The 12348-nt window shown below is 55.8% G+C and overlaps 1 protein-coding gene across 11 annotated transcripts in view; it reads left to right on the top strand.

Annotated features, from left to right (window-relative positions):
- Positions 1-12348, top strand: part of COL23A1 (collagen type XXIII alpha 1 chain) — a 352776-nt gene that overhangs the window by 315312 nt on the left and 25116 nt on the right. For 8 of the 11 annotated variants that reach the window (XM_011534688.3, XM_006714935.4, XM_047417869.1 and 5 more), the window contains 4 exons: positions 4719-4745; positions 6326-6352; positions 7749-7775; positions 11758-11874. In XM_011534688.3, coding sequence (XP_011532990.1) covers positions 4719-4745; positions 6326-6352; positions 7749-7775; positions 11758-11874 — 198 coding nt within the window. The remainder of the gene's footprint in view (positions 1-4718; positions 4746-6325; positions 6353-7748; positions 7776-11757; positions 11875-12348) is intronic. The other 3 variants (XM_011534690.3, XM_006714934.4, XM_011534691.3) reach the window with 2 other exon arrangements.

The raw sequence follows: 12348 nt of genomic DNA, 5'->3' as shown, positions 1-12348 counted from the left end.
GGGAGGGCTGCCCATCCGGGGTCCCAGGACAGGTGGCCGCCTGGCCTGCTGCTCATGTGCAGCCCAGAGCTTTGTTTGTTTCTCACACATCCGGAAACATCCCGGAGCCCGGCTGATCTCCATGGGGAAAGAGTGATTTAAAGCAGAACCAAGGCTTGTAAACAGCTGTGGGGTTTCTCAGAGGGCAGAAGGCGTTGAAAACCTCTGGTGGATTCAAGGGCTTTGATCAGGCAGGGGAGCGAGCTGGACAGTCATGAGCATCTCCAGGCACAGTGCTGTGGCATCCATAGATGAGGAAGCTGAGGCTCAGAGGAGGGATTTGAACCTGGGCCCTGCAAGGCTGAGCCCTGGCCTTCGCTCTGTGAGCTGGTGGTAAACCTCCCCGAGCTACTTTCCTTCCCACTCCTTCTGTGGGAGATGCTGGGAGAGGAACGGGGCAGCTGATGGCCGGTGCCCTATTGTCTGGGGCAGGGGAGGGCTGCCTAGATAGGGGAGACCCCCCCCACACCCAGCCAACCACCACCCAAGGCATGCCCCCGCCCAGTCTGGGGCTCTGCCCTTCCAGACCGCCCAGCTGCTCAGAACAGCCCTCATTCTCCTCAGAAGGACTTCCCTCGGGCTTAGACACTTGGACACTTGCCCTGCCATGCCTCTGTCCAGCCTGACCACGCCCCCCACCCCATGCATTCCTTGGCTCCATTCAGACCAGCCCCAGGCCCTTCCCTGAGGCGCTTGTCCTCCTCTCAAGAGCACCCAGAGCCAGGCTCAGCCCCCACTCCACCAGTAGAAACACCTGGTTTGTAGATGGTCTGCACAGCCTCACGCCTCAGTTGCTTTGCGTGACTCAGCCAGGCACTGAGTGCATTGAGGCTGAGTCCACTGAGCCCATTGCAGGGGTGGAAGGAGCACTGTCCTTTCAAAGACCCACAAACTAAAATGACGGCTCAGACAGCCCTGCAGGAAAGAAACCTGTTCCGCAGAGTGTAACCCAGTGTTTCTCAGACTTACTCAACCGTGGAATCCCTGTCTCCAGGCAAGCCTGTTGGCACCCTGCAGGGCAGTGTGCTGTGGGACACCAGTTTGGGAAAGGCATTCTGTAGGGTAACTGTGGGCAGGGTCCATCCCCTGGAGGTTCACAGCCCAGGGTCCTCCGGCCCAGAGGGCTGGCCCAACTTCCCCAGGACAGGAGGGGAGGTCAGAATCACATCCCCAAGCCAGGTAGGTGCATCTGACTCCAAAGCCAGGCTGTTCCTTCCCGGCCCACCTCGGAGTCCCCTCCTCAGTGACCATACCCACCCAGCAGCTTCTCCAAGGTCAGCCACTGCCCCACACAGAAAGCTCGGGGGCCTGGGGACAGCTTTCTTGCCCAGGTGTCATCCTGGCTGTGGGTCGGCTCTGTCCCAGGGGCTGGCCCAGCCCCGTCTGCTGTGTCAGTTTTCACACAGGGAGCTTCAGTGCCGGTGCAGGCACAGGCTCGGCTTCCGAGAATTGGACTTGACTTCCCTTCAGCCCTTGGTGGGGGCTCCCGGGAGCACTGCGCACACTGCACCCTCTGCCTCTATTGGGAAGCTACACACTGAATTCACTTGTAAAAACTCCCAGAGCTCTCTGATCACAAATACAGGCAGGGCGTTTGGTGTAAAAATTGGTTTTCTGTCACGGACGGGGCTTCTCACACATCAGAAAGAAGCCTCGGGGACCAAAGGCTGCGCCATCAGTGACCCCCCAGGAACAGTCCTAGCTTGACAGAGGGCAGCGTCCAGCTCAGGAGGCAGGAGGCCTGCAGCCATAATAAGGTCCAGTCGGTGGACACTTCCAGAAACAGCCGGCAGCACTGAGATGCTCCCTCTGGGGTTGAGGCCAAGGGGACAGCCTGGGCTCCCTTCCACGGGCACTTCTAGAAAGGCAGAGCCCTGTGGCTCTGCGTGCTTCACATCCAGGGGGCCTTGGTTGCAGGGAGGATTTAACAGAGGTTTCCGAGGCCTAGAGCAGGAGAGAGCGGCCGGGAGGCCAGACAGCACCGCGGCACGGGCCTGCAGTGCAGACAGGATGGAGACCCAGGGCCCAGACCTCTCCAGCTGCATGGCCCTAGGCAAGGTCTTCCCCTCACTGGGCCTCAGTTTCCTTCTCCGTAAGATGGGGATGATGACACGTACCTTACAGGGTTGCTGTGTGACTGAGACTGAGTGGGGGCCACGAAGAGCTCCTTGAAGAGACCCAGGAAGGACTGGCGGCCATGTGTGTGGGGTCAGGCCTGGGGGAAGGGTCCAAGGTGGGGATGCCTAGTGGGACGCGACCTTGAGGACACCCAGCAGGGCTTGGGTCGGGGGGTAGGGGGACAAGGGGCAGGGCCAAATTTAGTGTACTACCGAGGGCAGAAGGCCTGGGGGTGTGGACCCCAGGATCAGGACAGCCGGGAACTGGCAAGAGGACACTGTCCAGCTAGGGCAGCTCCTGGGAGGCTCATGGCAAGGACTAGAACTATGCCTGTGATGGAGGCTGAGGCCCTGACCCGGGGCCCCCAGGGCCTGAATCCCCAAGACTTTGGAATGCCCCCACTCCCACTCTCCTGGGACCCCAGCTGTCACCAGGCCATCACTCTGATGGCCAAACCCTCAGCGACCATGAGACTGGTGGCCAGAAGCCCTTTGACACCAATTTTTAGAACTGCCTGGTTTCCTGCTGCCAGCAAGGCCCTGGCCGCGAGCCCCACGTGGAGTGGCCACTCTCACACCGTCTGGGAATGGGCAGATGGGCCATCTCCATACGAGGCAGTCTGGAGGTTGAGCCAGGGAAGCCAGCAGCTTACCTCCTACCTGGCAGGCACGAGGCCAGCTCCCAGCTGTGTCCAGAACCAGAGGCCAGGAAAGTCTTCCCAGAGCAGGAGGCTGTCCCGGGGGACGAGCTGCCTCTTACCAGCTGGAAACGCAGGGAAGGCACTCCAGGCAGAGGGAACAGAGAGCCGAGGGATGAGGATGGAAAGGAAGCCAGAGAGCTCGGGACGGACAGGGGTGCAGAGTGACCAAATGGCTGAAGCTGGCCCTAACCACAGAGGACCCTGATGCTGGGCCTGGGAGTCCGTCCTCAGCCAGCGGAAGCCCAGAGAGGCAGGGACAGCCTGAGCGAAGGCTGCGTGAAGGCCACCGGTCAGGGGCCTATGAGAGGCACTGAGGTTAGTGCAGCCCCTCTGCTCCTCCACCACCTACAGGGTCCCCCATCCCGCCTTGGCCAGGCTGCTCTCTTTTGCTTACAGGGCCCTCCCCGCCCCCACACACACACTTGTTAGGTCCAAATACCCCAACGTTACTGTCGCCACAATGCGCCCTGCCGGCTAGGAGCTGGCAGAGCCTCTACCTCTCCACCTCTCCGCCTTCCCTTTCTACTGTGCAGTGCGTGCATTTGCAGCATTATCGTTCTTGCCATACTTCCTTGGTTTGACTTCGCACACATTTTCTGGGCACATGCTGCCTGCCAGGCCCCATCCAATACCAGAGGCACAGGGATTAGACCCTTTTCCTGACTCTACAGGGGAAGAGTTGTGCAGACCCTACATTAACAACAGGTCATGTCACATGCGACAGAATATATGTGGTGGGAACAGGGACAGATGGCCTGACTCTGGGAAGGAGAAAACCCTAGAAGGCTTCCTGGAAGAGGAGGTAACTGAGCTGAAGATGGACAAAGAAGGGAAGGATGTGCCCGGCAGGTGGACAGTGTGTGCAAAGGTTCAGAAGTGTGGAGCTGTGTGCATCGTTGCTGCGGCCAAGAGTGAAGTGTATGTGGGGGTGAGGGGACAGTGGTGGGGAGGAAGAGGGGGCTGACAGAGACCAGGCAGCCCTGGTCCCAGCATCCCTGCCAGCTGGATTCCTCCCCACTCCCACACGGAGGGGAGCTAGGCGAGGCTTTGTTGAGTGAGTGGTAGGTGGACAGGGGAAGGGGTGTCTGGCACGGGCTGCTGTGCAGCTGGCCCTCTGCAGACTCTGCAGGGGGCCTGGAGGTCCCTGAGTGCCCCCACTCTCTGGACCCACCCTGGTGTGATTCGGCTTCTCTCCAGCTTTACTGTTGTCTGCAAAGGCTGCAGCAATGTGGGAAGCTCAAAGAGCCTTCAAGACTCTGCCAGTTACAAATGACAGGAGCTCAATTCAAGCTGGCTTAGTGAAGGCAAAACAAAAGTATTGATTAGCTCTCAAACTGATGTGTGCAGGGGTAGTTTCAGCTTCAGGCCCTCGACGCTGTCTTTCTCTCTGTCTCTCAGCTCTGCTTTCCTCCCTGTTGGCTTATTCTCAAGCCATGTGGTGGTCCCTGGGAGCTCCAGGCTTAGCCCCATCAGAAGAAAGCCTCTAAAGCCCCACCATTAAGTCCCAGGCAAGATGCTCATGGCTCGCCTTGGATCCCAGGCTCATCGCTGACCCCGTCACCCTGGCGGAGGGAATGCGGTCACATGCCCACCCCAGCAGCCCACCCAGACCCCATGGGTTGAGATGGGGGGTGGTCTTTAGAGAAGAACTGGGCTCTCTTGTCAGAGGAGGGGATTCTGGGCAGCAGACAACACACAGATGCCTTCCCCTCCCTCAGCCCCAGGCCACATGGACTGAACCCAGACGCGGGGCTCCCACAGGCTTTGTTTTCTTGTCACTGAATAGTGCACCTGGGTCATAAGACATGGAGGAAGTGTCATCCCCGTGTGTAACCTGTGTTCTCTCTCTCTCGTTTTCCAGGGACCCCTGGGTTTGGATGGCAAGCCCGTAAGTGATGACAGGGCAATTCCAGGGGGTCCTGGGCTGGGGCTGCCACCGTGGGGCTAGGAGTGACCAGCAGGCACTGGAGGGAAGCAGCCACTGGAACTTGGTTCAGCACAGAGAGAAGCCTTTTGGGTGTCAGACTTGAGTTCAAATCTAACTCCACTACCTGCTGACGGTGACCAAGGGAGGCCTCCTTAACCTCCCAAGCCTGAGGCTTCTTGTCTGTCAAGTGGGCACATGAACCCCTCTCTCATAGGAGGGGTGGACCTATGGAAAACTGTGGACGGCACAGTCCCTGGGGTCTAGTCAGCCCTCAAAGCATGCGAGCACCTCCCAGCAGGCACAGGCACAGTGTCCTCACTACGTTCTCAAGACTGCCCTGGTGGGCATCAAGCTGAGTTCTCAACATCTGGGCCAGGAGCCTCAGCAGATGAGCAAAACATGCAGGGAGACATAAGCACAATTAAATAAGTAATTTGAGGTGGATGGATGGATGGGTGAGTCGGTAGATATATAGATGGATGGATGGATGGATGGATGGATGCTGACTGGATAGATGGATGGATGGATTGGTGGGTGGTTGGATGGATAGTGGATGGGTAGGTGGGTGGATGGATGGATGGATGGATTGGTGGGGGAATGGGTGGATGGATGGATAGTGGATGAATGGGTGGATGGATGGATGAATGGATTGGTGAGTGGATGGGTGGATGAATGGATGGATGGATGGATGGATGGATGGATGGATTGATGGATGAGTGGGTGGGTGGATGGATGGATGGATGGATGATGGATGGGTGGATAGATGGGTGGGTGGATGGGTGGGTGGATGGGTGGATGGGTGGATGGGTGGGTGGATGGGTGGGTGGATGGGTGGATGGATGGGTGGATGGGTGGATGGGTGGGTGGGTGGATGGACGGGTGGATGGATGGTTGGATGGATGGGTGGGTGGATGGATGGATAGATGGGTGGGTGGATGGGTGGGTGGGTGGATGGATGGATGGATACATGGATGGATGGATGGATGGATGGATGGATGGATGGATGGATGACTCATACAGGGATGGACAGATGGAACCCATACTCCAAGGAGCTGCTACCATTAAAGAAGAGAATGCTTTTTTTTTTTTAAGAAATAAGAAAGGAAAAAGAAGAAGAGAATGCCTATGGAGAGAGAATCTCTGTCTACTGCCTGCTTCTCAGATTCCAGAAAGATGGCTTGGGGGCAGTGGTCTCCCACTGACAATGACAGGGCGGGTGCTGAGCAGTAGGGAACTGACCGTGTGTGCTCTCTGGGAGGAGTGGCCAGTGCATGTGCCCCTTTCTCTGCTGCGAGGATGCCAGTGGGCCCTTGCTGGTCACCCGCAATTCCCCCGTATCCCTCATGCTGAGGACTGAGATGTGGAGCTTCCTTGGGCCAGCCAGGGCAGCTCTCATTGAGGGCTGAGAGCTCATGTGTAATTTTCCACTCAGCCGCCCAGCATCACGGGCCCTTCTGCCCTCAGAGGTATAGGGAAGCCAGAAGGGGAGCCAGCCTAGGCCCCTCACTCAGGTCTGTTCTTTCTCCACTTTCCTTTTCCAGGGACTTCCAGGCCCGAAAGGGGAAAAGGTAAGTGATGCCAGAGGCTGTGCAGATGTGGTAGGCAGGCGAAGAATCCCAGAAACCTGCCTCCGAACGCCAGTTCCAGTGTGCCCTTGAGCACATCACAGCCCCTCCTAGAGCCTCAGTTTCCCCATCTGTAGAGTGGGAATCACAGTGCCTACCTTCTAAAATGATTACAAGGCTTACATTTGACAATACGGCCTGCCCAGAGAGTTGAGTCTTGAGTTCTCCTGGGACCAAAGCATAACCAAACTCGGAGGCCCGGTGTTCCCAGAATGACGAGTGTCCAGAGGACTTCATGGTGAAGGGGGGTGCCAGGAGGGCTTGGGGATTGAACCATGACTGTTAATGGTATTCTCTGTGGGGAGGACACCCATCAGGAAGACAAGGCGGACAGCTATCTCTGCGGCCCCTTGGGAGGAAGGCTTCCTTGGTATCAGGCACTAAAGCCCCCTAGAAAACAGGGACCAAGTGTCTCAGAAAGGGACAGAAGAGACCTGTGTTACCCACGGTAAAATCAGGGGAGGGACCAGAGTAGGCCTAGGTGTGCCAGGGCCAGCCGGGTGCTCCCACAGCTGGACCATGTCCACCCCCGACCCAGAATTTGGAAATGGGAAGTGAGATCTGCAGATGGGCCCTGCTGTGATTCCGCAGCTCAGGCCAGGCAGGCAGGGTTCCCGCCCAACCACCAGGGCTGCGGGAGCCGTGGGGAGGCATGGGAGCTGGTGTTCAGAAGCTCGGCTTTGCATTCCAGCTCCACCACCAACTGTGTGACCTTGGCCAAGTTGCCGGGCTGTGTGGGCCTCAGTTTCCCCATCTGTAAATTAAGACCAATCTCACGGAGCCACAGGAGAGATTGCATGAGGTCATGGTCTCAATGTTCTTGTCAATGAAGAGACTAGTGCAGTTGGCAGGTGTCCTGATTACCTTCCTGCCGGCCTTGGCTGATGCCACCGTGTCATAGAAGTGATTCCATCAGGGGCTTTGAAACCAGAGAGAACTGGTGTCTTGGTGTCTATTGCTGCTTAATGCACTGCCCCAAAACTTGGCCGTGTAAAGCAACATTTACTCATTACCGTCCCTTCCAGAGGACACAGTGGGAGGGGCTGTCTCTGCTCCACAATGTCTGGGGCCTCGAATGGCTGGGGCTGCCCCCTAGATAAGGGGACACCTACCTGCCTTCAAGTCCTGGATCTGCTAGCTGTGTGACCTTGAGCAGGTTAAGTGGCCTCACTGTGTCTGCTTCCTCGTTGGAAATGGAAATAAAAATAGGGCCTGCCTGCTATTTTTGTTGGAATTAAGTCATACCATGTCTATGAAGCACTGGGCACAGATGCCCGACGGGAAATGTGAAGAAACGATGAAAGCAGTGGTGATGCCTCTCCCTGTCTTTTGTTCCCAGGGTGCACCAGGAGACTTTGGCCCCCGGGTAAGAACCAGGCATGACCTCCCTCACTGCCCACATGGTTTGTTTTGTGTAATAATGAGGCATAACTGGCGCTGCTTCTGGGTCCCAGCTCCCCGCAGCTCATCACAGAAAGAGGCCAAGAGGGCTCTTCCCCACCCATAGCACCGGTGGAAGCCCCCAGGGACCTGGGTTGTGGGGCTGCCCCTCTTGCGCAGGTGGAGTGTCTCTGGAAGACGGCCAGGTCTCCATGCTTACCACTGTGGATGCTGGACAGTGGGGCTGGCACGTGACCCCAGACTGGAGACAGCGTCCTGAGGACAGCTGGCACCCCAAAAAGAGGGAAGGCTCTGGGGTCAGCAGAACTGAGCTCAAAGCTCAGCTCTGCCACCTGCCAGCTGAGTGACCCTGAACAAGTCACTTTGCTCTCTGAGACTCAGTTTCTTCAACTGTGAATGGGGGAACAGCCCCCACCCCAAGAGGTTGTTATGGGAAAGAAAAGGTAGTGGGAGCCGCAGTGCGGAGAGCGGGGCTGCAGCTTGTGGTCAGAGCTGGCCGGGCGCCTGCTCCGCACCTCCGCGGCCCTGAGCTGTGAGCAGGAGCAGGGAAGGGGGCTGGCCAGGCCAAGCCCCTGAGCTGTGAGCACGAACACAGCTGCTCTGTGCCAGCCACATAAAGCTGGTGAGATTGTTCTGCAGTCAAAGAAAGGGCGCTCATGCTGAGTTTTAGCTGCTGAGAAAAATCCTTCTGCTTGCTTTCCTGGTGGGTGTGTGGAGCTGATATTCCAAAAGGGGATGCCCTCTCTTCAACAGACTAGAAGTCCTGAGGCCCAGAGGTCATGAAGAGTGGATCTCCTCCCAATCCCCCAACCCTCCTCGTGGATACCCTCCCTATGGTCCCAGTGTCCCAGTCATCGGGAACACCACCCCCCAACACACACACACATATGCGCACACACACACATGCACACACAAAGTTTAGTGGCTTAATGGCCGGGCGAGGTGGCTCATGCCTGTAATCCTAGCACTTTGGGAGGTCGAGGCAGGTGGATCACTTGAGGTCAGGAGTTTGAGACCAGCCTGACCAACATGGTGAAACCCCATCTCTACTAAAAATACAAAAATTAGCCGGGTGTGGAGGTGTGCGCCTGTGGTCCCAGCTACTCGAGAGGCTGAGGCAAGAGAATTGCTTGAACCCAGGAGGCAGAGGTTGCAGTGAGACGAGATGGCACCACAGCACTGCAGCCTGGGTGACAGAGCGAGACTGTCTCCAAAAAAAAAAATTTAAAAAGTAGTGGCTTAAGACTCCAATTGCCATTATCTCTCATGGCCCCTGGGTAAGGGTTAGGCTCTCTTGGGAGGTTGCAGGCAGCCAGGCCGGGAGCCCTGGGTGATGGCACCGTCACATGGCCGCAGGTGGCGTGGATGCTGGTGGGCGCTCAGCTGGTAAGCAGCCATCCTTGGAGAAGGAGTCTGCACACCTGATCACCTAACTGCCTTTCTCTGGGCTTGGTTAAGTGGCTTTGCCTCCAGGTTTCAAAAAGCCTTGTAGTTCTTCAGATCACCTTCCTGCCTTTCTGACCACACAACCTATCTGCTGACTAGATGGTTTTCCCACGGCTCAATCCGGGCTTTATAAGTAGAGACCATCACCTGTACAATCGCCGGATCCTCAAGGTAGACTGGCTGAGTGGGGGTCTGGACCTGATGGCTTGCTGTGTTACCCCCAACTCACCCCACGTTTGCAGGGTTAGACCTCAGCCATCCAATCCCTGAGGGAGGAGCAGGCAGGCTGGCCAGGAAAGAGCCTAAGAACCTCTCCCAGGATCTGCTCCAGTGTCAGGCCCATTTTCTGCCTTAATAAGTAGAGTCTAGGCCAGTAGTTCCCAGCCTGAGGCCCTTTATAAAAGGAGCAGCAGGGAGCTAAGGGGGTGTCTTCAAATTCTTCCTGCTTCAGTGCAAATTAAAACAGGAATCACCCGCCACCATCACCACCCATACCTGGTGACCTAACCAAACTGTCAGTTTTCTTTCCTTTCCGCTGGAGCTGTAATATTTTGATCAGGACCCTGGCCCTGCCAGACCAAGGGGAGGACCTGAGTGGTGGGTGTTGAGAACTTCTGCTGATTTTTTAATTGGGAAAGCAAGTGAATTTGTGTTAAGTGCAGTTTGCTAGAGAGGTGAGCTATATCAGATCAGGGAACATCTGTGGATGAAAAGAAGTGTCTCAAAGGGACCATGTGCCTTGGCAGTGAGAGGAGCCTCTGCCTTCCCTGGCTCTGTAACCCTGGGCAAATAATCCCCCACCCCAGCCATTCCTTCTGTAAAATGGGACAATAACAGTGAACTGGCCGGCTCATCACAAAGGTTGAATAAGATCATCTTCAGCGGGGTGCAGTGGCTCACGCCTGTAATCCCAGCACTTTGGGAGGCCAAGGCAGGCAGATCAGTTGAGGTCAGGAGTTCGAAACCAGCCTGGCCAACATGGTGAAACCCCGTCTGTACTAAAAATACAAATAATAGTAATAATAATAATAATCCCACCTACTCGGGAGGCTGAGGCAGGAGAATCGCTTGAACCCGGGAGGTGGAGGTTGCAGTGAGCCAAGATTGCGCCACTGCACTCCAGCCTGAGCGACAGAGCAAAAGACTCTGTCTCAAAAAAACAAACAAAAAAACATCTTCAGGATATCCTTGCTAGCTCAGTGCTAGGTCTTCCTTTCTTTGTTACAAGAGGGTTGGGAGCCACTGGCACCATGACCTGGGTGTACTCCATTCCTGTGGCTCTGCCCTGTGCGAGTGTAGGGTGGGCACTGCTGGGGCAGTGGGTAGGTGCCAGTCACAGTGATCTCCCTTCCTCTCGGGTTGGGCCATGAGGTGGGGCTCCGGCTGCCTGAGGTCTGACCCCAGTACTAACATCAGGTTCTAAAGTTGGGGATTTACTGCTGCATGAGAGAAACCATGTGGCCCTTCATCATCCTTTTTTTTTTTTTTACTTTTATTTTGAGATAATTGTAGATTTACATGTAATTGTAGTGAATAACACCTGTGTACCCTTCATCCAGTCTCCCCCAATGGTGACATCTTGCATCTCTGTAGTACAGTCTCACAACAGGAAATTGACAATGATACAATCCACCAACCTTATTCAGATGCCCCCACCTGTACACACACTCGTTTGTGTGTTCTGTGCAATTTTAACACACCCGTCGATTTGTGTAAGCCCACAAAGGTCCCTCATGCTGTTCTTTTGTAGTTACAATCACCTTCATCCCCCCATCCCTAACGCCTGGCAACCATTATGGGCTCTCCATCTCTTCAATGTTGCCATTTCAAGAGTGTTACGTAGATACAGCCACACAGTATTAAGCTTTGGAGATGGACTTTTTCCACTTAGCATAATTCTCCTGAGATGCATCTGAGGTGTTGCATGTGTCGTGCCCTGTTCCTTTGGGTTGATTGCTGAGTTGTGTTCCATGATGTGGATGTACCCCAGCTCCTTAACCTTCCACCTACCAAAGGACTTTCGGATTAGTTTCCAGTTTGGGGCTGTTACTAATAAAGCAGCTGTGAACAAGGATAAATGCCCAAGAGTGCCCCTCCATACTTAAATGAAGTGGGAGTTGACCAACCAGGAAGGTCCTTCAGGAGACACTCAGACCCCGTTCTAGAAAGAAGAGGGGGCAGCTGGACACACGTGCTGTCTCCCACATGCAGCGTGTGCCATCTCTCTCCTAAACACTGGATCTGGGCTTCAGGCGCTGGAGAGCTGGCACATTCCTTGGCATGTAAAGGGTCCTGTAGGGCCTCTTACACCAAGGTATGGGGACCTGTTCCTTCATGCAGCTCCCAATAAGTGGCAAGAGGCCCAATAACAAAGCCCTCCCCTTTGAGCCTGCCCAAGGGCTGGGGAAGGGGATGGCGTGGGGCTGCCCATCTGAGGGAGCCTCTCTCTGGAGGCTGGACCCCCTCCCCCTCAGAGTCATGCCAAGCCCCATCTCTTTCAGGGAGACCAAGGACAAGATGGAGCTGCTGGGCCTCCGGGGCCCCCTGGACCTCCTGGGGCCCGGGGCCCTCCTGGCGACACTGGGAAAGATGGCCCCAGGGGAGCACAAGGCCCAGCGGTAAGAGAGGGCATGGAGTTGGGCCACGCAGGACTTGACCAAAACCCCAAATCCTGATTCCAGAGCCAGCCCCATCCCCATCCCCATCTCTAGTGCAGACCCCACACTATCCTTAACCCTAATCCAGACACTGAACCTGGGCCCAAACTTAACTCCAACCAAGATCCAGCCCCAATTCAGATCCTGACCCTGACCCCAGACCCAAACCCAACCCTAACTTCAACCCAGACCCTTAATCCCATTCGAACCTTAAATCTAACACTAACTGGGTCTCTGATCCCAATCAAGACCTTGACCTCTAACTCATTCCCAAATCCTGGTCTACGCCCCCAATTCAGACCCTAACTCTGAACCTTACAGACTCTGACCCTGACTCCCAACCCAACTCTAACTTCAAACAGACCCAGAGACCCTAAGCTGACCTTAGTTGCAATCCCAGTCCCAATCCTGACTCAACCCTGAGCCTGAGACCCT

Source organism: Homo sapiens, chromosome 5 (assembly GCF_000001405.40).
Source record: "Homo sapiens chromosome 5, GRCh38.p14 Primary Assembly".
Lineage (NCBI taxonomy): Eukaryota > Metazoa > Chordata > Mammalia > Primates > Hominidae > Homo > Homo sapiens.
The sequence above is the reverse complement of the archived record's forward strand: the minus strand, read 5'-3'. Positions and strand labels throughout refer to the sequence as shown.